Source organism: Homo sapiens, chromosome 3, assembly GCF_000001405.40.
Source record: "Homo sapiens chromosome 3, GRCh38.p14 Primary Assembly".
Taxonomy (NCBI): Eukaryota; Metazoa; Chordata; class Mammalia; order Primates; family Hominidae; genus Homo; species Homo sapiens.
Genome location: NC_000003.12, coordinates 33,559,471 through 33,585,210, shown reverse-complemented (window position 1 = coordinate 33,585,210; position 25,740 = coordinate 33,559,471). Strand labels below are relative to the sequence as shown.

At 35.9% G+C, this 25,740-nt stretch overlaps 1 protein-coding gene across 81 annotated transcripts in view, besides 3 other annotated features; it reads left to right on the top strand.

The window, feature by feature from the left end:
- The window catches only part of CLASP2 (cytoplasmic linker associated protein 2), a 222,010-nt gene that overhangs the window by 133,044 nt on the left and 63,226 nt on the right, over positions 1 to 25,740 (top strand). For 21 of the 81 annotated variants that reach the window (NM_001375713.1, NM_001400406.1, NM_001375705.1 and 18 more), the window contains 6 exons: positions 291 to 461; positions 3,283 to 3,390; positions 8,936 to 9,042; positions 11,857 to 12,101; positions 14,421 to 14,484; positions 24,240 to 24,403. In NM_001375713.1, the coding sequence (NP_001362642.1) occupies positions 291 to 461; positions 3,283 to 3,390; positions 8,936 to 9,042; positions 11,857 to 12,101; positions 14,421 to 14,484; positions 24,240 to 24,403 (859 nt within the window). Of the gene's footprint in view, positions 1 to 290; positions 462 to 3,282; positions 3,391 to 7,946; positions 8,010 to 8,935; positions 9,043 to 10,714; positions 10,739 to 11,856; positions 12,102 to 14,420; positions 14,485 to 18,476; positions 18,480 to 24,239; positions 24,404 to 25,740 lie in introns of all 81 variants that reach the window. The other 60 variants (XM_017005959.2, NM_001375701.1, NM_001400432.1 and 57 more) reach the window with 7 other exon arrangements.
- Positions 5,935 to 6,516: an enhancer, noted in NCBI's record as "OCT4-NANOG hESC enhancer chr3:33620187-33620768 (GRCh37/hg19 assembly coordinates)". NCBI's record gives its function as "activates a minimal SCP1, AML or CMV promoter by ChIP-STARR-seq in naive H9 embryonic stem cells {active_cell/tissue: H9 hESC(naive)}" and the evidence as "EXISTENCE:reporter gene assay evidence [ECO:0000049][PMID:30033119]".
- Positions 6,896 to 7,406: an enhancer, noted in NCBI's record as "OCT4-NANOG hESC enhancer chr3:33619297-33619807 (GRCh37/hg19 assembly coordinates)". NCBI's record gives its function as "activates a minimal SCP1, AML or CMV promoter by ChIP-STARR-seq in naive and primed H9 embryonic stem cells {active_cell/tissue: H9 hESC(naive and primed)}" and the evidence as "EXISTENCE:reporter gene assay evidence [ECO:0000049][PMID:30033119]".
- Positions 7,407 to 7,917: an enhancer, noted in NCBI's record as "OCT4-NANOG hESC enhancer chr3:33618786-33619296 (GRCh37/hg19 assembly coordinates)". NCBI's record gives its function as "activates a minimal SCP1, AML or CMV promoter by ChIP-STARR-seq in naive and primed H9 embryonic stem cells {active_cell/tissue: H9 hESC(naive and primed)}" and the evidence as "EXISTENCE:reporter gene assay evidence [ECO:0000049][PMID:30033119]".

The window sequence follows — 25,740 nt, the reverse complement described above, 5'->3', positions numbered from 1 at the left end:
GTTCTAAAAATTATAATAATGTTCTCCTTATTAAACATAGTGTCTTATACCTCCAAAACTGAAAGTATATTTTAGATGATTTACCATTTAGTGCTCATATATGTAGTATACCTTTTTTTTTCCAGGTTATAATTATATTTAAATCTTCCTCGGTCTATTTCCTTTGAGCGTAGAACCTGCCATACTGTCACAGTTTTCTCTGTATTATCAATATTTCTTGAATTTTTATCCTTTCAGCAAATTCTCTTGGCATTTACATGTTAACATTTGTATATGTGTTTGGTGTTCAGCTGGTAGCCGGTCTGGGTCTCCAGGAAGAGTTCTGACCACAACAGCCCTGTCCACTGTGAGCTCTGGTGTTCAAAGAGTCCTGGTCAATTCAGCCTCAGCACAAAAAAGAAGCAAGATACCACGGAGCCAGGGCTGTAGCAGAGAGGCTAGTCCATCTAGGCTTTCAGTGGGTAAGATTTTTTTTTTTTTTTTATGTGAGACATGTAACCCTTTTTTTTTTTTTTTCAGGCTTTGGCAGCATTGAAGACTTTGGAATACAATTAGGACTTACAAATTAGAAGAAAATAACTTAAAAATTCAACAATTGAAGAATAGTTTATGAGTTGAATTAGGTATCTTAAATGTGTAATTCAGGGCCTGGCACAGTGGCTCATGCCTGTAATCCCAGCACTTTGGGAGGCTGAGGGGGGTGGATCACTTGAGGTCAGGAGTTTGAGACCAGCCTGGCCAATACCCCCGTCTCTACTAAAAATACAAAAATTAGCCAGGCATGGTGGTGCATGCCTGTAATCCCAGCTACTCGGGTGGCTGAGGCAGGAGAATCTTTTGAACCTGGGGTGGAGGCTGCAGTGAGCCAAGATCACACTGCACTCCAGCCTGGGCAACGGAGACTCTGTCTCAAAAAAAAAAAAAAAAACCCAAAACAAAACAAACAAACCCTATAATTCATAGGAGCTTTGAAAAATATAGCTAGTACTTTAAAGGAAAAGGTTATTGTGGAATTTTATAACATATTTATCACATATACACATATATACACAGTTTCTTGTGTGTTTGACATTCGTGTTATAGTTCAGCCCTATTCAAATACTAGTAAACTTTAATATTTTCTCTGTGTATTGATTAGGATACTTTCAATTTCAGATAATAGTAATGATAGATGAAGCCAGCTTAAACATTAAAAATGGATTTATTAGTTAAGTTTGAAGATTGTACGGCCTTCAGGATTGACTAATTAACATTGCTATGATGAACCCAAAATCTGCCTATTTTCCCTTTCTCTCACTCTCTCTTCCTTCTTTTCTGCTTTATCAACCATGTTGCTGACTTTGTCCTTAGGATAGCTGCTACTTGATCCGTCATTTCCAGAGCAGAAAGCCCCTAATTATTCCAGTTTATTTTTAATAATTTTTTTTATTGTTTTAAGTCTTTTGCAGATTACCTATGTAACTTTAAAAAATATTCTCATATTTAAAGAAAATACTCATATTTCTATTTCTTGTTTCGTCAACCTCAATCAGTATCTCAACTTCCATACTTTTTCCTTCACCTTCCACTCTTAGAGTTATCAATTTTTACATTATTAAAGTTTACACATACATTTTCTTCTGTATCCACAAGCAAGTCTTATGTACTTGTTCCATAAGTTGGCTTTAAAAGATGAAAAGCTGTAAATAACATATACTGTGTTATGAGTAAATGAATGTTGTTTGCAGCCAAGACACCTAGTGTACTGTGAACCCATTTCTTCCCAAAGGTACAGTGAGTTCCCTAGGGACCACTTGAAGGAGAGTGTTCCTGTTATAAGGAGATGAATTCTCTTTCCTTACATTCCTACCAGTTATTTACTTATGTCATTATAACTTATACCAGTTATTTACTTATTATGCCACGTTTTCATTTGCTGTGTATATAGAAAGTGACTAAGAATAGTGTGCACTTCTCATATCCTTTAGGATTGCTTTCCCTTCAGTATTGCTGAAAGGAAATATGCAGTTCCTTATTTTTTCCAGACTTTCTTTTCAGTTCTCTCTGGATTAGTTGCATCTAGGCCTCTTGCTCAGCTATCTTCTTGAGATTCCTATTTGCTGCTTTCCTGGTTTGAATCACTCCCTCCTGGATCCTCTTTCTCTTCCTTTGCTCTTTTGCTTTGCTCGTACACATTCACAAATAATTCCTTAGAAATAGTGTGTAGGAGTCAAGCTTTTTGAAACCTTACTTGTCTGAGAATGTCTTTATTGAGTAGATGGCACCGATTTCGTTTAGGCCTACAGACTGAATTACTGTTCCTAGCGCTTTTCATTTATTCTGTGCCTGGTATTTGGCCCATGAGCCTCTGAAGTTTTCATCTAACTAATTCACTTCTTTTTGTTTTCCAGACATTATTTTAAATTCTCTACTCCACCTTTAGTCAGTCTTCACCCCTGTTTATTGTTTCTTTCGTTCCATATTTGTGGGTTTTTCATTTGTGAGGAGGTGAGAAAAAGAATGGGAATCGAAAGCATTGGCTTATTTTTTCCTCTTTTGTTTTTGTTTGTTTTAGAGACAGGGTCTTACTCTGTTACCCAGTCTGGAGTGCAGTGAATGATCATAGTTCACTGCGGCCTCGACCTCCTGGGCTCAAGCAATCCTCCTGCCTCATCATCTTAAGTAGCTAGGACTACAGGCATGTGCCACCATCCCCAGCTAATTTTTGTATTTTTTTTGTAGTGAGACAAGGTCTCACTATGTTGCCCAGACTGATCTCGATCTCCCAGCCTCAGGCAGTTCTCCCCACTCACCTACCCATGTTGCTGGAATTACAGGAATGAGCCACTGCACCTGGCATTTTTTCCTCTTTATCTTGAACTGAGAATTTAAGAATGGGTATTTTACTTTAGATTAATATTTGATAAGTATAGGGTTTTTCTCTCTATTAAAAGCAAGATTTTAACCTAAGATACCAAAAGTGTTAGAAGCCTCTATAGTTCAGTGAACAAAGAGAAAAATTGAGTTTTACTGTATTGTACAGTATGTTAAATATTTTTATTTGCAGCATTTTTAGTTTGGTAAAATATTATTTGCCCTTCTAATTTCATACAAACTAGAGGACCATATTTAAGAATTTAACTGTATTCCTGGTAATGCTTCAGCAAGAGTAATTTCTTTTCAGCCTTAGAAAAATTTAAGTTACTGTTCAGTCTTTAAGAAAGAAAAAAACAAAATTTTTTAAAATGCAAACTCTGTTCTGTTTTCTCCCTTACTGTGTGTGCTGCTGTTGCTTCACACCAGCCCGAAGCAGTCGTATTCCTCGACCAAGTGTGAGTCAAGGATGCAGCCGGGAAGCTAGTCGGGAGAGCAGCAGAGACACAAGTCCTGTTCGCTCTTTTCAGCCCCTCGGTACGTATTCGGGCAGGTGTTATGTGCATTGCTTATCCATGGTGTTATCACTATCTGTTAACTTCAGCATACCTGGGATTTAGCTTTCTTTGTCGACAGATCTTTCTCTCTACCCCTTTTCTGTCATTTTGAGGAAAGGAAATTACATGTTTGGGAAATTCCTTTGACTTGATTTACATGTCTGAAATGAATATGTTAGTCATTGTATTAACAGATTGCCTTCATAATCAAGTAAATGTCACACAGGTTTAAACTTCAGAATATTGAAGTCTAGATCTTTCTTAACAAGTAAACCTGCAAATTTAAAGATATTTAAATATTTAATCTCAAGTGAAATGCGGACTAGTTTGATAAAATACTTTTGTCTTTTTCAGCGGAAATGTTAACATTTCAGCTTAGATCATTTAACTTAGGTTACTAAAAAGAATGCCACAAAATAACATCTGAACTACTTATTAATGGTAGGGATTAACATTTTTATAATATTTTACAGTTTAACAGTCATTTCCTATGAGCTAATGCTCTTGTCACTGCGGTAAAACTTGTTTGTCCCCAACTGTATTGTAACCTTGATTGTAATACTATATTTACCTCAATTATAAAAATATTAAATGATTTTTTAAACATTCAGTATTAGGATAACTGGAGAGGTACAGTTTTGTATGTACATTGAGAATCTTTAGAATTTCTGCGTGATCCTTCAGCATTTTAACTAGTATTTTGTTTAAATGCACAAGCCTGTAGCCATTTTAGATTTTTTTTCTTCTTTTTCTTTTTTTTCTTTCTTTCTTTTTTTTTTTTTTTTGAGACGGAGTCTCGCTCTGTCACCCAGACTGGAGTGCAGTGGCACGATCTCGGCTCACTGCAAGCTCTGCCTCCTGGGTTCACACCATTCTCCTGCCTCAGCCTCCTGAGTAGCTGGGACTACAGGCGCCTGCCACCACGCCCGGCTAATTTTTTTGTATTTTCAGTAGAGACGGTGTTTCACCGTGTTAGCCAGGATGGTCTCGATCTCCTGACCTCATGATCCGCCCGCCTCGGCCCCCCAAAGTGCTGGGTTTACAGGCGTGAGCCACTGCACCTGGCCAGATTTTTTTTCTTTAACACAGTGTAGTTTACTGTAATACTTAGAAGGTTGCTCTTTGGACTTTGGAATGCTCAGGGAGAACCTAGTTCTACTTATCCAGTGGAATTCTTATTTCCTCAGATACATATGGTAGTATAGAATTTCTTTCATTGTTGTTGTTGTTGTTGTTTTGAGGTGGAGTCTCACTCTGTTGCCCAGGCTGGAGTGCAGTGGCACGATCTTGGCTCACTGCAACCTCCACCTTCCAGGTTCAATCGATTCTCCTGCCTCAGCCTCCTGAGTAGCTGGGATTACAGGCACCCACCACCACACCCAGCTAATTTTTCTATTTTTAGTAGAGATGGGGTTTCATGATACTGGACCAAGCTGGTCTCGAACTCCTGACCTCAGGTGATCCACCTACCTCGGCCTCCCAAAGTGTTAGGATTACAGGTGTGATCCACTGCACCTGGCCAAGAATTTCTAGTGGTTAATTTCTCATTCTCTGGGCCATTTGGCTCAAATATACTAGGCTTTTTTGTACTGACCTAGAAAACCCCATTAAAGCTAGAATCACAGGAATATGCCCAACCCTTGTTTGTGTTCCAGCCCCAGGTGCCAGAGAGTTTCCCTCTTTCTTTTCCCTCTGTGGGGAGGTGCCAAAGTAAAAAGAACTGTTCCACATCACTAAGGCTGTGTGTGGCAGGTACTTTGTCAGAGATATTTTTAGTTCATATGCAATAGAGTTAGTCTGCAGAATGTCTGTATGTGTGCATGTGCATGCGCATGCACATATACGTGGTGCATCCTCATGGATATACATTTAAAGAAATGAAATAAATCCTACATGTGTATAAAATAATCATCCTACTTTCAGGAGTGGAGGGAAGTGGAGTTGGGTGTGTGGTGGTTTAAGAATGTATATCATAGGGTCAGGTGGCCTGGGTTCATTCCCCAGCTACGTAACCTTTCTATGCCTGAGTTTCCTCATCTATAAAACAAGGATAATAATAGTGTGTACTTCTTAGGATTGTTTTGGAGACTCATAAATGAGAAATACGTGAAAAACTCCCTCAAGGCAGTGCTTGACACATAATGAGCACTCAGTTATCATGGTCATCATGGTCATCATCACTGCTACCACCACTGCTGCTGCTATTACCACTCTACCTCTTCCCCCTGAAACTCTAATCACTTACCCTAGAAACAGTTAAATTACACTTCAGTGGGAAGGATCTCAGATTTCTTAATGGCACCTGCATTTATATAATGTTGATATTGCACGTTCCTAGAAAACATATCAAGAAGAAACCAAAATGTGTTTCTGTACTTTGTAAACCTGTACAATAGTTAGAGATTAGAGGACCTTTATAATCTACTACTAATTACTGTGAAAGTAAACATTGTTTAATATACCAGTTCTTAAAGAAATATTTTGTCTAGTCATTAATATTCTAGTTCATCTCAAAGCTTCCATTTGACAATTTAAAATTACTTAAATTTTAATATTAAAGGAAACAGTTTTCCTGATTCTCATGAAAGTTCCTATTTGCACTGAAGATGACTAAACCTTTTAGTCATAGTTTTAGAAGAATTGGCTTTTTTATAGCCATTTTATTTACATATGGGTACTGCATAGCAAAGGCAGCAGATTAGCCCTGTTTGTTTTGCAGGGATGAAAGGTAGCATTCCCAGAGATTAAGTTGTTCTTGCTATTCCCATTCTCTGCTACATTTGCCTACATTCTTTGGTCCTTTCTATTATTTGTTTCTTTGGTGGAATCCCCTTGTTGCTTATGGCTGGATATTGTTATTCAGCAGATGAATCACAAGTTTAGCCTGAGGGCCCTAAAGCATCAGAAATAAATTAGAGCCGAGCAAAGTTTAACTTCTCTGGAACTTGCACCTTTAGTTTCCATGTATTTCTGGAACCAAGATATTTCAAAGGCTTACTTTATTTCAGACACCTATTATCTTCAAGTCACAGATAACTATTGATTCTGTAAAGTGTTTCAAAGATTTTTGTCCACTAGACATTTTTAAATTTGTTCAACTCCTCCTCATCATTTTAGAAATTATTTCTGTTAGGTAAAATTAAAACTAACAATGTATTTTAGTTTATTTTTCTAATGATACCAGTCACCTTTCGGGGCTAACTAAACATTTTGTGCAGCATTCTCTTAGTTTACATCCTCCTTTCTTTCAGTCTTCCTGTTTATTAAGGCTGTCCTGTAGCAAACAAAAGAGTGACTCATGTTAAAAGTATTTTAACTGCTCTAATATATCTGAGGAAGAATAACTTTCTAAATTAAAGTAATGTATTTTATTAAATATTAAAATGCATTTTTTGGCTATTCATTTCTGTATGTAAAAGAAAAGTTAACTTTATGGTGTTATGCAAAATATGCTAAATTTAGATTTTAGAGCAATATATAGGGAGATATGTCACAAATTTCTACATTTTGGTTAAATTATTAGTATTTTTTTGTATTCAAATGTGCCTTGATATTTAAATAATATACTGAATGCAGAATTTATGTTATGTGAACCATTATGGAAAATGTTAATGTTAACAAAATGAGGTGTATTGACTTTTCAACAATGTAAATTAAAGATGGTACATCTACTGTTTAAGGGCAGAGGAATTAAAAGAGTATAGATACTGAAATGTATCACTTACTAGTAGTGTGGCTATAATCAAATTAATTAATCTCTCTCTAGGCTTTAGCTTCCTCATCTTAGTTTGTTCAGGCTACTGTAACAAAATAACATAGATTATGTACTTTTAAATGACAGAAGTTTATTCGGCATGGTTTGGGAGACTAGGAAGTCTAAGATTAAAGAACCAGCAAATTTGGTGTCTGATGAGGACCCATTCCTTTGTTCACAGATGATGCCTTCTCATTGTGTTTTCAAATGTTAGAAGGAGCTAGCTAGCTTTCTGGGGTCTCTTTTGTAAAGGCACTAATCCCAGTCATTAGGGCAAATTGGCTCCTACAGGCCCCACCTATCTCCTAATACCATCACCTTGAGGATTAAGATTTCTACATATGAATGAAGCAGGTGTTGTAGAAGGTCAGTCAGTTAGACCATAGCACCATCTGTAAAATTGAATAGTAATTTACTGCCTCATTGGATGTCAGGATTAAAGGAGATAAGATTTTATTAGTTACTAGTTACCATAGTGGTTTTTTTTTTACACTATAATGTTCGTTTTTTTGTTTCATGCTTGTACCTTCAACATTTCCTTCCATTTGAATACTTCTTTTGTCTCCTGTAGGCCTGTCTGTCCACTTAGGTGTAAGATGTGTTTTTGTGTCAGGAATGATGGTGCAATGCTAATGTTCCATTGCCCTATTTGGCAATACTCTGATCATTAACTATAAAGAATAACACCAGTGTTAACTAACTCTCCTTGCCTGACAGTAGTGCTGCCACTATTCCTTGTTTCTGTGGTAATAGATGAGGTTTGTATGGTCCTGTTATTCCAGCCTCCAGACACCATTCCAGATCAACTGGTGCCCTCTACGCCCCCGAAGTGTATGGGGCCTCAGGTGAAGGATGAGTACATTTTCACTATCATCTGGCATTCATCTCAGATTTTATCCTTTTCAGTTTCCATTAAATAATATTCATGTTTTAAAATTGATTTTTTATTATTTAAATTTAATTTGTTGGAGAATAAACTTTTTTTTTCTTTTCTCCCAAGTAACGTTTTCCCCTTTAGCAACTGTATTGAGCATTTTTCTCACTGGTATATGGACATTTTTTTGTATAACCTGTTGTGTCATTTTTAAATATAGAATTGTTTTTATGTTCTCATCTTTGTATATATGTTTAAAAAAAAAAAAACCAAAATGGTGGATGAAGTGTTTTAATTGTAAATGATGGTATAGAAAGCAGTTGAGGGGGAGAATTCATCTCTGGTTTGTCTCTGTATGCCTCAGAATGTCGGGCACATAGTAGACACTTAACAGTTATCAAATGGATGTCTCTTAGTTGTAGAATAAAACCCACTTATCTTGAAGGAGAGGAGATAATAATTAGAGCTTATTTTCCTTGTAAATTTCTAGTGTGCCTTCATGGATCTCCCTAACCACTATTGGTTGAGGATTGATCTTTGTCCTGGGTTACTCTGTGATTCAGCCGTATGGATGATATTTGCCTGAACTGATAGAGCTGGATTACAGGGCTATAGACTTGCAAGCCCTTAGTCTGCCAGCCATGCTTCCTTCTACCTTGTGGTTGTAAATGAATAGTGACCGTTCTTTATTTTTCACACATTGTCAGTAATTTTAATTGTCTTTACCCTTTTATTTTGCCAAAAACTAAATGTGCCCAGAAAATACAATATTGCTTTTAAAATGCTTTGCCCCATTGGTTTTTTTTCCTTCCCCTGTAAAGGTCTTAAAGTTTCCCAACCTGACACTGTTATATTTATGACTCCTTCAAATCTATTTTCCTTCTTTTGATGAATTAGGTCCAGGTTATGGGATCAGCCAATCAAGTCGACTGTCGTCTTCTGTTAGTGCCATGCGAGTCCTGAACACAGGTTCTGATGTGGAGGAGGCGGTGGCAGATGCCTTGGTACTCTTCTCCATTTTCTTATCATTATAAATGTTCCAATTACGAAACTGTTGAATGAGTAGGCCAGTCTATCCATGTGGGAAAGGGGTTGGGGAAAAATCAGTGATTAAATCTAAAGATAAAACGTGGGCAGTGTAAAAAGCAGAATATAATTAATTCTTGATCCTTATTAATCAGAATTTTATACCAGGGCCAGTATTACTGATGGCCTATCAGAAATATAAATATAGATGTCTTTAATATGGTAATGTGTTTTATACACTATAGTATACTTAAGGGAGATAAACTATATAAATATGTACACTTAAAATCATGTAATTTCAACTCTAGCTTAAACTTTGGTATTTAGGAATTATTTTACTTTGGGGCTGGATTTTGTTTAGTATTTTATCTGTGTTTTTTGAACTAAAAGAAAGTACAACCTCAAGGCAAATTATAATTAAGATATATTATATCTTATAGTTAGATATAATTCTTTATGTCTGACACATTAAACAGTGAGATTTAAAAACATATTCTACAGATCCATGATAGCTTGTCAGAAGATTGCAATACATATATCGTTGTTTTTGTCACTTAAAATTATGTAAGAAGTAGCATTTTTAAAAATGTATGTAATTGGCTTTGGCTAATTTCCCAAGTCAATTCAGTATCACTTCCTCTTTCAGATTATGATATTAATCCTATGTTTGAGAAACATTTACTCAGCTTCTTACCCAGAACTTGTAAGAGGCCTCATCTTTGTTTTGAAATTAAAAAAAAATATGCTTCCTAAAATCATAGATCCCATCTTAACTAGTGTTGATATAATACAGTGTTTGCCACATAGATTTGAAAAGGCAGGTTTTTAAAAATATTCATTGGTAATAGCTATAATTTATTGAATATCACACGTGTAGTTCTGCGCTAACCATTTCGCTGTGCTGAATTTTTCCCGTTACTTCAGCCACTTGATTATTTTTTATAAATTAATATAATTAAGTAGGGACTTTGTTCTCTTCAACATGGGATATATTGATCACATCTTGTTCTGATGATATTAAATTAATGAGATGTTTTTGATTTGCTATTCCTCATCCCTGTATCTCAAATCATGTTTTCTGGGTTTTTTAAATTGGATAATTTACCAGTTAAATTCTGCTTACATAAATGTTACGAATTGATTGGGTTTTTCTTGAACTATTACTTAGAACACTGAGATGGTGTGTTTGAATTATATGAGGAATGTTTAACTACCAAGGCTAAAGTTTGACTCCCAGTAATCTGATTCTGAATACTTCCATTATTTGCAGAGCACAGAAGTTCCACTTACAACTACCAATTTTTAGGAAAAAACTTTCCAGCTAGTAAGCCTAATTTGTGCTGGAGAAAATCATAGAAATACACTTAACTTTGGAAATGACAAAAGGATCCAAATAGGAAGAACATTTAGGTTTCTTTGAGAAAACTGGTTATGGGAATATTTTTTGTAGCATCACTATTTCTCTTTGAACTAAAGAATATTGACAAGATTAAAGACACAGCCTGCTAATAAGCAGTTCTTTGTACCTATGTGTGAAAAAAACGTAATGTTTCTGATCATAGGCATTGTTAATGCCTATTTCACTGTGCTGATTAGCAAAATGTTCTTCATTATTTTCAATTTTTCTCTTTAAAAATTTACTGCTCTCAGCTCTTAGGAGACATACGGACTAAGGTATAGACATTGCTATTTTCTGACATCTTATGATACCATAACTTTTTTTTCTTTCATCAATTTAACAAATGATGGTCTTCTATTAAAAATCAAAGTAGAAGTAAAATCCTTAGACATACATCTATTTTTCTGTAAATATGGTTATCGAGAGAGATACTGCTTGAATAATGTCCTCTGGAGGTGCTCATTCTTTCAGCTTGACTACTTCATACAAATTAAATGAGGTCATTCACACTGAATTATTGTGTTTAATCTGTTTTATAGACATCTTCACCACTCATCAGCCAAAATTCAAGTATCAGATAACATAAAGATTTGTTTTCAGCTCTTTTAAGGAAATCTTAAATAAACTATTCTTTCTCATTTCACTTGAAATATGCAAGGTATAACTGGCATTTACATATATTAAACAAATAAGATTTAGATGTAAAGAAATCAAAGGAATCTGAATATGCTTTCTTATATTTATTGAATTAAACAATATAGATACATTGAGAAAAGCATAGAGGGCTCTCAAGGAGTTCGCCTCCTTAAAATAATAGTAGACTAAATAGTTTTTCATCATTCTTTGTATTTTATTTCTCTAGGAGACATGAGGGTTGGGTACAAGGGAAGGAATAGTGGCAAGAGAAGTGGTAATGGAGGTAAAAGGAGAATAAAGAAAAGATAGACAGAAAAAAATGGAACTTTATACATGGAAAATGTTTTTCTGATCCATTATACTCTTTCTTTAAAAAGGTAATATTTTCTTCTTACCAACTCAAATTTCTAGTATAGTTTCTGTTCATTTACATTCTAGTAGTTCTTGGTTTTTCGTGAAAAGGGGAAAGGAAAAACCCACATTTTTTAGCGCTTCCCACTTTACATATCTGAACTTCCATATAGTCTTACTCTGCTTCTACCACTTCCCATAGTTAAGGATTATTTTACCTTCTACTAACTTCTAAAACTTGTTTTCTGAAGAAAAACTAAATACTGACATTCTGTTATTACAATGATTAGGAGCATGCTTTGCACTGATTTTAAAACAAAAATCAATCCTTTTGTGGTCAGTAGAAATTATGAAATACCAATATATTCTTTTGGCTACTGCTAATGAGATTCTTGATGTATAACAGAAAAAACCAGCTCGAAGAAGATATGAATCATATGGAATGCATTCAGATGATGACGCCAACAGCGATGCATCTAGTGCTTGTTCAGAACGCTCCTATAGTTCTCGAAATGGTAGTATTCCTACATATATGAGGCAGACGGAAGATGTGGCAGAAGTCCTCAATAGATGTGCTAGTTCCAATTGGTCAGAAAGGAAAGAAGGCCTCCTAGGTCTGCAGAACTTATTAAAAAATCAGAGAACACTAAGGTGAGATGCGTTGTCTTAAAATGATTTTACTATCAGGTTAGCGCTTTTTGATTTTACTTTGTTTCTATAACACTTTAGAGATACTGGTGTAGAAACAGACTTGTCCTGAATTCATATGGTTGCTTCAAAGTGTTTTTCCAAAGCTTCAGTCTTTTAGGACCATCTATACTTTCATTACTAAAAAAAAAAAAAAAAAAATTATTTGTTCTATTAAGCAAAACATTTTGAAAGGAAACTTTTTATTCACACATAGAAATTAAATTTAAAATGTTATTAATTTTAATATTTAATAATAAAAAGTACATAGTGATAAAACTGACTGGTTTATTAAAATTTATTTCTGGTAAGTTTTTCAATGAGAAGAAGAATGTTTATGCTTATTTGGAAATGAAGATATATTCTTAGTGTGCATGTAATATGTGAATTTTAGTGTAATACAAAGTTGAGTTGGACTGAATTTCTTTAAGAACAGATATTTGTTAATATTTTGGGTTTGGGGTTTTGTTTCCTTTACTAATGGTATTAGCTTGTTTTTTCCCCCTACTTGCCTTATTGTCCTTGTCTGTGTGATGTTTTAAACCTATAGTTGACCCCTTTGAGAATCTAGCTTCAGATATTTCATAGGTTTAAGCATGGTGGAATGTGCAGGGTTACTTCCTGACTTGATACCTGTGAAATAAGAGTTTGATGTACTTACTTCCTGTGTATTTATTTTAGGAAGTATTAGAACTATATAATTTAAAATAAATGTTTCTGTATCACCTAAATATATTTTCATGTGTTCATATCACATGTCATGAATCATTGCAATCCACCATCATAATATTGTTCCCAGCCCATCAAGATTAAGTTAATATTAGATTCAGCGTGCCATTGTAAATGGCAAGGGAGTAGGCATAGTTTAGAATGATTTTAGCCCGTAAGTATAGCAACATTTAAGAAAATGTCTTAACACCTAAAAGGATAGGATTCATGTGTTGGTCATTTTAAATGGCAAGGGAGTAAGCATAGTTTAGAATGATTTTATCCTATCAGTAGCAACATTTAAGAAAACGTCTTAACACTTAAAAGGATAAAATTCATGTATTGGGAATGCCATATGTAAAATTTCTCCTGTCACACTCCATTAATGAAGGATAATTGTATTTTTCTTCTTAACTTTTAACCTTTAAGATAGTGTGGGTTACAACAGAATAATTGTTGTATTTGGTAACTTTGTATTTAGACCTGACTGGTACATCCCACAAATTTCTCAATTTTTAGGGTTGATTTTTTCTATTGATTTCGTTGTTGTTTCTGTTTTTAAAGAGATGAGATCTCGCTTTGTCACCCAGGATGGAGTGCAGTGGCACAATCATTGTTCACTGCTGCCTTAAATTCCTGGGCTCAAACAACCCTCCCACGTAGCTGGTACTACAGGCGTGCACCACCACACCCAGCTGATTTGTTTTTGTTTTTTTGGTTTTTTTTTTTTTGAGACAGAGTCTAACCCTGTCGCCCAGGCTGGCATACAGTGGCACAATCTCAGCTCAGTGCAACCTCTGCCCCCCGGGTTCAAGCAATTTTCCTGCCTCAGCCTCCCGAGTAGCTGGGATTATAGACGTGTGCCACCATGACCAGCGCAGCTACTTTTTTGTATTTTTAGTAGAGACAGGGTTTCACCATGTTGGCCAGGCTGGTCTCAAACTCCTGACCTCCAGTGATCTGCCCACCTCGACCTTCCAAAGTGCTGGGATTACAGACATGAACCACCGTGCCCGACCATTGCAGCTGTTTTGTTAAAAATTTATAGAGACAGGCCGGGCGCGGTGGGTCACGCCTGTAATCCCAGCACTTTGGGAGGCTGAGGCGGGCGGATCATGAGGTCAGGAGATCGAGACCATCCTGGCTAACACGGTGAAACCCCGTCTCTACTAAAAATACAAAAAATTAGCTGGGCGAGGTGGCGGGCGCCTGTACTCCCAGCTACTCGGGAGGCTGAGGCAGGAGAATGGCGTGAACCCGGGGGGCGGAGCCTGCAGTGAGCCGAGATCGCGCCACTGCACTCCAGCCTGGGCGACAGCGAGACTCCGTCTCAAAAAAAAAAAAAAAAAATTTATAGAGACAGGATCTTGCCATCTTGCCCATGCTGATCTTGAACTCCTGGGCTCAAGCGAGCCTCTCACCTCAGCCTCCCAAAATGCTAGGATTATAGGCGTGAGCCACCATGCCCAACCTAACCTTTTTTTTTTTTTTTTAAAGAAAATTATATGTAAAGTTACTTTTACATGACTTCTTGCTACAGCAAGATATTAATTAACCGCTGTATTATCTTGGCAGTCGAGTTGAACTGAAAAGATTATGTGAAATTTTCACAAGAATGTTTGCTGACCCTCATGGCAAGGTATGTTTTAGTATTTAAGATTATTTATTTCTATAGGGTATCATTTGTATATTGTCAAAGCAGAAAAACTGTAGGCCATTTTTATTTTATTGTCCCAAAATGGCAGTAATATTTTCAAGCATAATTAAAATTGTTTGGTATCATACGTAATTTAGAAATTAATCTCTGGTAACTATTTGAGCTTCTCCAATGATAGATGGTCTAAGACTGAAATAAAGGGGATACAGTTACAACTCAAGTAATTTAGTCAAGTTGGTGTATTTTGTGTTACTAAGACTGTTTTAGTGTTTGTAAAAGACATAATTGGGGTAAGTTGAAAAGGTTTTTAACATTTTATTTTGTTTTCGTCTGTGATTAATTACAGCATTGATGTAAATATGTTTCAATTTTGAAATAATAATTTTGTAGAAAAGAATTGTCATTAACACAAAGGCACAAAATGTGGTTCCAGCCATAGTTTGGTAGTAATATAAGAGACATTTCTTACATTGAAGTAGTCCATAAAAATTTTCAGAACTTTGTTCATTTTTAATGTTGATTAAAATATATTTATTTAAGTACTTATATGTAATGTGCATGTGTACTGTGAAATTTTGGTTTACCTTGATGCATAGTACTGTTATAAAACTGTGGTCACATATTCTGTTTCCAGCAATATGTTTGATAATGGTGAAATCTTCCCTTAGGATACCAAATGTCTACAGGAGACTTTCTAACCTAAGTGAGCGGGAGATGTGGCAAGGAAATAAGAAAAATATTAATGAATTTCACTTTACTGTTTCTTTTTATTGTCTTCACTTTATTGTTGCACATCTCATTTCCTCCTCATTTTTTTCTATTTTTAGTATTTTCATTACTTACAACACTACTTAAAGATAATGAAATCCCACATTGTACATAAACTAAAATCCAGCTAAAGATTTAAATGCAGTGGGGGATATACTTAATTATTTAAATAAATTGCTTATACTTTAAAACAATATTTTCAAAGATTATTCTATCAGAAGTTATATTTATTTGAGGGTAAAATATCCCATTAAAAGACAAAGAAGAAAATACATTTGGTAAGCAGTTTACTAAAATCTTTTAAAGTTTGTAACTTATAATTGAACATGTAGATAACTATACCATTCTAGATAGATATTGCTATCACTGATTACAGCTGTTAGTCTTACTTTAATGTAAAAATTTCTATAAATCCTGAACAGATTAACTGTTGATATTTTTAGTTGGCAATATAAGCCAAAGGACAAGACAGTTATTTGGGTTAATTTGTTTTATTAAACATTTAAATTAACAGTCTGTTCAACTTTGAAATATATAGTTATTAAGCATCTTCAGTAATTCCTGCTACTGGAAGATATAAGACCAAAGCTAGATTATTTCTTGAAGTCACAGTTTTTGACTTTTTGTTAAGTCAGTAATGCAGTTTGGTTGGATGCCATGATGTATAGTGATAAAGACAAACTTTTTTAAAAAAGATCAAATAGGAAAGCTGAGTTTAACACTGGTATAGGAACTTAACTGAGCACAAATGTTTGGCCTCTCTTAATACAGGTGGAGAACCAGCTACTATTTTCCCTAGGATTGCATCAGATTTCTCTTCTTAGGGCTTTATAGCAACATAAAATTCTTATCTACCCATCTTGTTTGTTTGATTTTGGTTTTTGTTTTTTAGTCAGTTCTGTGAAGACAAATGTAATGGGAAGATTTTCTGATTTTTGTGTGGCCATTGATTGTCCATCAGAGACTCTGTCAATAATGTAATTCATTAAGGATACTAGACATGTCACCATCCTGTGCCGAGTTAAAAATGTTTGAGTTTTTGCATTGTATTCTGATATTTTTTAAATAGCTGCACCCCTCCCTTTTTAATGTATTTTTAGACCAACAGTTCCATCTTCAGAATCAAGCAACTTTTTTTGATATCTTCTTTCTGAATGCAATTTTGTTCTATATCAGACTCAGCAACTATTTTCTGTAAATAATGTGGCTTTGCAGACCATAAGGGTCTCTATCCCAGCTACTCAATTATGCCATTATAGCATGAAGGCACCCTTAACAGGCAATGAACAAACAAATGTGTGTGTTGGGTTGCAATAAAACTTTATTTATGAACATTAAAATGTGAGGGGGTGTGTGTGTGTGTAATTTTTTTTTTTTTTTTTTTTTTGAGACAAGATCTCTTTCTGTCACCCAGGCTGGAGTGCAGTGGCATGATCTTGGCTCACTGCAACTTCCGCCTCCCGGGTTCAAGCGATTCTCATGCCTCAGCCTTCCAAGTAGCTGGGATTACAGTCATGTGCCACCACACTCTGCTCATTTTTCGTATTTTTAGTAGAGACGGGTTCTCACCATGTTGGCCAAGCTGGTCTTGAACTCCTGGCCTCAAGTGATCTGTCCATTGTGTCCCCCCAAAGTGCTGTGATGACAAGCGTGAGCCACCATGCCTGACCATGTGGTTATATAATTTTCATGTATCACTAAATAGCCTTTTGATTGCTTTTAAAGTCATTTTTTAAAGTGTAAGAATTAGAAATAGCTTGCAGGCCATAGTTTGCTGACCCCTGTCATATATGATCAACTCTTTGTCGTTGACACTAAAATAGAAACATATGTTCAGGAACCTATACCCTTGGAAGATGAAATTATTTGATGTCTGTAATTTGATAAATGAACTTTTTTTCCTTCATATACCCATATAGAAATAAATAATTAACCACAATATCTGTAAGACAATAATTTAGACCATAAATCAGCAAATGTATAATTTAAAGCCTTTTAGTATTTTTTATAAGTGAAGCAGTACAACACATATTGTACTGCAAAATGGTAGGCTTTGTTTGGACATTATCTTGAGGGCAGTGAGCAGTCACTGAGTAGACAAGACGTACCTTTTGGAAGGATTACTTAAGCAGTGTGAGGGAAAATTTAAAATAACAGGTATGGATAGTGGAGCTAGATTGCTTGGGTTCAAATTCTACCTCCAATTTATTAGCAGTATGTACTTTAATTATTAATTATTAATCTGTAAAACAGTTAATAGTAATATCCACCTCATGTAAACCCTTAGAACATACCAAGTACCATATATACGTTTTTTAAAAATCAAATTTTTTAAATTAAGGAGTTTGCAGCAGATTTTTATTTTGACTGCTCTGGACCCATTTTTTGCCCCTCAAATGCAAGCAGTATCAGTTGCCAAAAGCCATCCCATATATTTCTGGCACTTGACTCTGGAAAGAACTGCCTTCACTGTGGTGCATGCTTTGAATTGGCATTTTATGGTATTTGTAACACTACCTCTTGAACCATACTCTTGAGTCTTGGACAACTACGGTAGAAATTCAATCTGTGGCTACTAAAATGAGGCACAGTTGAATCTCCTGACGAGCATTCTAGGCAGCTCAGCTGCCTGCAGTCTTTAGATCAGGAGACCATAACACACATCTTACCTAGGGAAAATAAAAAGTAGTAGTATAGTTACTTTTATTACTTCCAAGCAATAGTTATTGTTTCAAGCCTTCACAGAAATATTTTAACTTGTGAAAGTATTGCTTCTGAGAGGAGGAAAAAAAAGAGAAAAGAAAGGAAAAAATTCTATGGACTATGCTTTGGAACCAAATGTTGGCCCCATTCAGAAGTGGGAGTATGTGTCTATTATTCTTGGATTATTTTCAGATGTTTAACCTCAAGGATTGATAGGGTCTGGAAAAAAAAGAGTTTTTGTCTTTAGTTTTCTTAATTTTCCTGGCAAAGAGGTGCAAGAGAAACAAAATCATATGTTCTTCTCCCATACTATTCATTTAAGTCTTGTTTTAAAAACTATTTTGAGTTTATCATAAAACTTCGAAAAACATTTGTCACTATTATTTTCTGAGTGTTTTTCTTCCATACAGGAACTTTGCATTGATGGCGACTAATTTGTGTGTTTTTCTTTTTTTTCTTTTTTTCTTTTTGCATGCTGTCCCCTGTGTTGGAACTCTCAATAGAGAGTAAGTTGGTTCAATATTTGTTGGAAACCTAACTTTACTGCATGACTGTGAAATTAACCCTTTTTCTCTATTTTCTCTCCCAAAGAGTTCATGCAGTGTTGGAACCTTTGCAATCCACGAAATGCTATTTGCAGTTATGCAAACTATCATTCTGTTTGGAGATATGCTTTTTAATCTACTAATTAATCTAATTTGATTATGTTCTTCTGTTCTATTTGATGACTGGCACACCTAAGATATAAGGGAGTTAAAGAAAAGTCTGCCTCAATTGTAATAGCTCGAATATTTTAATTCTTTTCCAACAAATTATATTTATGAGATATGTGGGATAATAAATTGATTCTATTGAAGATTGCTTCCATTGAATTATTTTAAAATGATTCTGAAGTTTCACAATTTTTAAAAAAACATTTAACCCCTGCCTTCCCACAAATGACATTTTATTAATGTCATTCCATAAAAGCAAACAGAGTAGATTATGGGATAGTAATTCTCATCTTTGTCTTCTGAAAGAACATGTGAATCACTAGTTTTATATTAGCATAGCCACTTTCCACTTTGTTCTTTAATCATAGATTAGGAAATGGGGGCATATTAACATCTGACAAGAACCCTTTGTGTTAGGGCAATCAAGTAAGATGTTTTATATATAACTTTCAATAAATTTTGGATATGGATAATGAATGAAGATAGATATGTATGCATGTATATGTAAGTACAGTTGACCCTTGAACAATGAGGAGGTTAGAGAGGGACACAGACGCCTGTGCAATAGAAAAATCTGTATATAATTTTTAACTCCCCAAAACATAACTACTAATAGCCTAGTGTTGACCAGAAACCTTACCAATAACATAGTCAATTAACATATATTTTATTTATTATATATATTATATACTGTATTTTTTTTTCTTTTTTTTGAGACGGAGTCTCGCTCTTTCACCCAGGCTGGAGTGCAATGGCTCAATCTCAGCTCACCACAATCTCTGCCTCCTGGGTTCAAGCAGTTCTCCTGCCTCAGCCTCCTGAGTAGCTGGGATTACAGGCATGTGCCACCACGCCCAGCTAAATTTGTATTTTTAGTAGAGACGGGGTTTCTCAATGTTAGTCAGGCTGGTCTCGAACTCCCGACCTCAGGTGATCCACACACCTCGGCCTCCCAAAATTCTGGGTTACAGGCATGAGCCACCACGCCCAGCCTATATACTGTATTATTATAATAAAGTAAACTAGAGAAAATAAAATGTTATTAGCCAGGTGTGATGGCTCATGTCTGTAATCTCAGCACTTTGGGAGGCTGAGGTGGGCAGATCGCCTCAGGTCAGGAGTTTGAGACCAGCCAGGCCAACATGGTGAAACCCTATCTCTACTAAAAGTACAAAAAAATTAGCCGAGTGTGGTGGCGCTGGCCTGTAATCCTACCTACACAGAAGGCTGAGGCAGGAGAATCACTTGAACCTGGGAGGCAGAGGTTTCAGTGAGCCGAGATCGCACCAGTGCACTCCACCCTGGGTGATAGGTGAGACTCCGTCTCAGAAAGAAAATAAAATGTTATTAAAATTATAAGGAAGAGAAAATATATTTACTTACTAATTGTTAGGTGGAATGGATCACCATAAAGATCTTTATTATTGTCATCTTCACCTTGAGTAGGCTAAGGAGGAAGAGGAGGGGTTGGTGTTGCTATCTCAGGGGTGGCAGAGGTGGAAGAAAATCCACGTGTAAGTGGACCCACACAGTTTAAAAGCATGTAGTTCAAGGGTCAGCTGTGTGTGTGTGTGCATATGATCATTTACTAAGTACCATTGATAGGATATAAGCATTTTTGAAAAATAATAGTACAGGCCAGGCACATGGCTCACGTCTGTAATCCTAGCACTTTGGGAGAATGAGGTGAGAGGATTGCTTAAGGCCAGGAGTTCAAGACTAACCTGGACAACAAAGGTAGACCCCATCTCTACAAAACTAAAAAAATTAACTGGACATGATGGTGCATGCCTGTAGCCCTACCTACTCAGGAGGCTGAGGTGGGAAGATTGCTTAAGCCCAGAAGTTTGAGGCTGCAGTGTACCATGATCGTGCCACTGTACTGCAGACTGGGTGACAGAGTGAGACTCTGTCTCAAAAGTGATAACAAAATTTTTAAAATAGTACAATTTCTTATGTAGAGTACAGCAAATAACATGTCCACATTTTTATTTAGCTACTCACATTTTATATAATCAAAACAAATTTCTACTTAGGAAACTCAGAGAAGTCTTCTTGAAGAAAATGGCATCTCAGATCTTAATAGAACATAAGCTTTGGATATGTCAGAGTGAGAATAAAGGGCTTATTCGAAGTAGCTAGCCTGAGTCCAGAAAAAGAAGTGGGAGATGCTAGAAAGTTTATAGGAAATAAAAAGAAGTTAATCTTGGCTAGACTAAAGGGAAGGTCTTCCCTTGCATTGAAGAAAAAGGGTTGGCTACCAATTAGAGGGTAAATTTCACTTGATTTCATTGATAAACTTTTTATTGGGTTCTCAGCCTCTGATAACCTTAAGCCTGGTTCTAGTTCTAATTGGTGACACACAAGACTGTATAAAAATATAGTCTTTATTTTCAAATGGTATGTGTTAGAGATGGGAAAATAACATAAATACAGAAAAAGCTAAATAGCACCATAAATAGTTTGCCCCTCTGTGAGTTCTAAGTCAGGAAGATCAGTGGCCCTGACTTGCAATCCAAGAAGTTTCTTGACTAGGACTTGAATAGTAAATTCTATAGAGAGTCACATACTGTGTGTAAATGAATGGAGTGGGGATGTGTTAGGAAATCAGGGTGGATATATGAGGTGTGTTCAAGGATAAAGAGTTTATGTTTCCAGATAGCCCAAGATCAGTTTGGAGTTAGAAACTTGTCCAGGTATTTTAGACATTATCTTACAGACAGTGAAGGAACAGTAAAGGATTTTGTTTCCATCCAAAGAGTCATATCACAATCTGATGGTAACAAAGAGACATGAGTTGACAAACTACAGCCTGCAGGCCACATCTTCCCTGCTGCCTGTTTTTGTGAATAAAGTTATATTGACACACGGCCATGCTTATTTGTTTATGTGGTGTCAGTGGCTGTGCTAAATGGCAAAGTTGAGTAGTTGTGATAGAGACCATATGGCTTGCAAAGCCCTAGGATATTTACTATCTGGCCTGTTACAAAAATGGTTTACTGAACCCTGGTATACAGGAAATATAAAACTAAAGTCAGGCTACTACAGAAATCCAGACCTGAGGTCAGAAATGCTTGGTGCCTTTAGTGATGGTGTGGTAAACAGATTTGGAGAAGGCCAGGAAAAAGGCCTCATGGGATAGATCAGAGAGACTGTGTCAAGTAGGTCACACTTATGATGAAAAGAGAATCAGGATGAAGACATGCAAAAGGAGAATTCCTGGCAACCAGAAAGAAGGGAAGTAAGAGGAAAGCAGTGTCAAGTTACAGAACGGCCAAACATACTAAACTTAATGAAGAAGCTATTATACATCATGATTAGAAAGTAATTGGTGGGAGCAATAGGATGGAAGCAGAGAGATAATTTCTTGAGATGACTTCTGCATCTGTAAGCAAAGGATTTCGGTAGAGAATAAAAAGAGTAAAGATAGTAGAGGAGACCATGTTTTAGAGAGCAGGAATATAAAGTAGAAAGATTAGCCATAAAATGAAGAAAATCACTTCTTTCTTGGATAAATTAGAAGGATAGGTATAGAGGAAATCAAATTGAGGGAAGAGTCAATGGAGAATTTCATGTTGAATGACAATAATGAAGATAAGTTAGGTCATCTGGTAATAGAGTGGATAGAGCACAACTGAAAACCAAGTGACCTAGCTTTAAGTCCTGGCCTAGCTATTAACCATCTGTGAAACATTGGGCAGGTCATGTAATTCTCTGCTTCCCTGTTTCCTCATCCATAAAATAGGAGGTTGACCTAGGCATTCTAATGTCTGTGATTTTCAGAATGGATTTTCATATAGGAAAGCTAGAGGTTGTAATCTTCAGGAGCATAGACAAGTGTTGAAACAAGGGTGAAAGTGAACCAAAGAATAGGACAATGGTGTCCTAGTAAATGAGCTTTGGGGGAGAGGCAGGAAGCTCTGATATGTAGTGTTTGCCCATTTCTGAGATGTAAATACTCCTATCCCGTGGTAGATTTCAAGCTACCAACCACTTCACAAGATTCCTGAATATTTAACAATTGACTCTCTAGACAGGTGCAAACTGATGCCAGCACATGACTGAACAGATTTGCTAGGTAACAGTAAGAATGAGTACCAGATTAGTTACATGCATTTGTCATAGACTATGTCTAGTGAAGCTCCTTGACAATATTCCTGGCCCTCAGGAGAAGGCCAGAGACAGTTTAATGAAGCAGTTGGCCAAGTTTGGAATCTAAGAGAATCCAAGTTCTTGGGGGATTATGGGGGTAGTGGTGGAATGAGAGTTAAAGGAATCCACACTGTGAGTAGGAACAGTGTTGAAGCACACACTGTCTGGGGACCAGAGAATACTCAAAAATTTAATTATAGTTTCTGCTGTTACAGGTATACAGCGTCTTAAGCAAATAGCTAAAGTATATTTTTATTTTTAACTCAGTTTAAATGTTGAAGCTTAATTATAATTCTGATAAAGAAAATCCTTCATTTCTAAAGAAAAAAAAGAGTTCATCTATAACTGTATGAAGGGAATTCAAGAAATAAAATATGCATTGAGAGCAAAACTCTTAGTTCTCAAATTATCATATTTACTTTTTGAGATTAACTTGAAAAGTTAATAATTTTAAGTTTTTTTAACCCATAGTTTTTAATCTGTGATCAAAATGTTTATTATGATTTGTCCAGTAATACATTATGGCTGACAGTTTTTTCTTCTTTATCTAGAAACTAATTTTCCATTATGGTGTTGACTATCTTATAAAGAGATACAGCCTTGATAAAGGTCACTTTTCATAAGTATTTTAATGAGCTACATCACTTATAAACATTAGCTTCCCTTCACTATAATAATTTTTTTCTACCTTATAAAAATGTTAAAACAAATAGATTAATATTGGAAGTAAGTAAAAAACCCATAAATGGGTATGGAGACTAATAGTATGCCATCTAGGACTTTTTAAAAATCACTGAAATTTAAATGTAGACATTCATCTTGGATTTATTTTAGATGCAGTTACAGTTAAATCATTTAAAATTACCATTGAGGCAGTTTTAATAAATAATACATCCCATACCAAATTATTTGTGACAATTGTCATTTTGAGAAATCTGAGGATTCTCTAATTAGTCTATTATGCCAGATAAATTTTATACTTTAAGGTCATTGTAGTCATCTTCTCATTTACTCAGTGCCACTCTTCAGAAAAGCTGAGAGTTACTGAAACTATAGTTTTTTTCCCCTACATTTTACACAAAACAGATTTCACTTTACCCAGTTTAAGCTGTGGCATCATTGATAACATTAGGTGTGCCAGCCATTATGGCCAAACTTTCTTTACCAAGTGATGCTGCATGGAGTAGCTAATTGTCGAACTTCTGCAGAAGTTGGATAACAGTTCAAAGGTACTCTTGTATCACAGAGTCCAATGAAAAGCAAGAGAGATTGTTTTTCCGCTTGGCTGCCAATCGCTGTGCCTCTGATTCCTGTGTTCCTTTCTGTATTCGCTTTGAATTGAACATAGAGGTCAATATTTCCTCTTTTTTTCTCCCTACCTCTCCCCTTTATCAACTGTAGGTATTCAGCATGTTTTTGGAGACTCTAGTGGATTTCATACAAGTCCACAAAGATGATCTTCAAGATTGGTTGTTTGTACTGCTGACACAACTACTAAAAAAAATGGGTGCTGATTTGCTTGGATCTGTTCAGGCAAAAGTTCAGAAAGCCCTTGATGTTACAAGGTAATATTTTTTTCATATATTTCAAGTTAACCTGATAATAACTAGGAATATCTAACCCCTGTGTTAATAGTTCAGATTTCTGGGTCCCTTTGAACAATTTAGACTGCATGGATTCCGTTTGAAGATTGTTAATTATGCCCATTCATATTGTATATTTAAAGCAACATTTTTCCCTAGGTCAAGCCCTGCATTTTTTTTTATAAAAATTGTATTAATATTGGTTGAGTAGTTCAAGGTGGTATTTTATCTTAATTGATGTATCAGCAGCTGGGCATGGTGGCTCACACCTGTAATCCTAGTACTTTGGGAGGCTGAGGCAGGCAGATCACTTGAGGTCAGGAGTTCGAGACCAGCCTGGTCAACATGGTGAAACCATATCTCTACTAAAAATACAAAAATTAGCCAGGCATGGTGGCAGGCACCTGTAATCTCAGCTACTCCAGAGGCTGAGGAAGGAGAATCGCTTGAACCTGGGAGGTGGAGGTTGCAGTGAGCCGAGATTGCACCACTGCACTCCAGCGTGGGCAACAGAGCGAGACTCTGTCTCAAAAAAAAGAAAAAAAAAAAAGAAGTATCAGCGAAGTAAGGTTGAAGATTGAAGATTTTATTTAGTCTACTATAAAAAGTATTTTCTGTGTATTTAAACAACGTTTTATTATGCATTTAAATATTCTAAATCTCTTTTCAGAAGGTTTTGAACCAATGATATATTTCTACTTTCTTGTGTAGATTGTTGAAGTCACTTATTTCAAATATCTGTTTACTAGGTTGAGGTGAGTCAGAATTCAGATTTTAGGTATAGAGAAACATTTCTAAGAATGTTAAACTTTTTACTGAATACATTTTTCTGATTAAATCTATAGTTGAGGCAAGATAGACTATTATTTCCTATAGTGTTGCTTTTTTTTTCTTTGAGAGGGAGTTTCACTCTTGTTGCCCATGCTGGAGTGCAATGGCGCAATCTCGGCTCACTGCAACCTCTGCCTCCTGGGTTCAAGCGATTCTCCTGCCTCAGCCTCCCGAGTAGCTGAGATTACAGACATGCGCCACCATGCCTGGCTAATTTTGTATTTTTAATAGAGACGGGGTTTCTCCATGTTGGTCACGCTGGTCTCGAACTCCTGACCTCGGGTGATCCGCCCGCCTCAGCCTCCCAAAGTACTGGGAATACAAGCGTGAGCCACCGCTCCCGGCCTGTAGAGTTACTTTTTAACCCTGTACTGAGTACAAATTCAGATGTTCATATTCTTCTGAGGATGCATTTATTGTATACTATACCAGGTAGTTTATACCACATGCAGATACTACTTCATGGATGTTTTTTGGATGACATTATG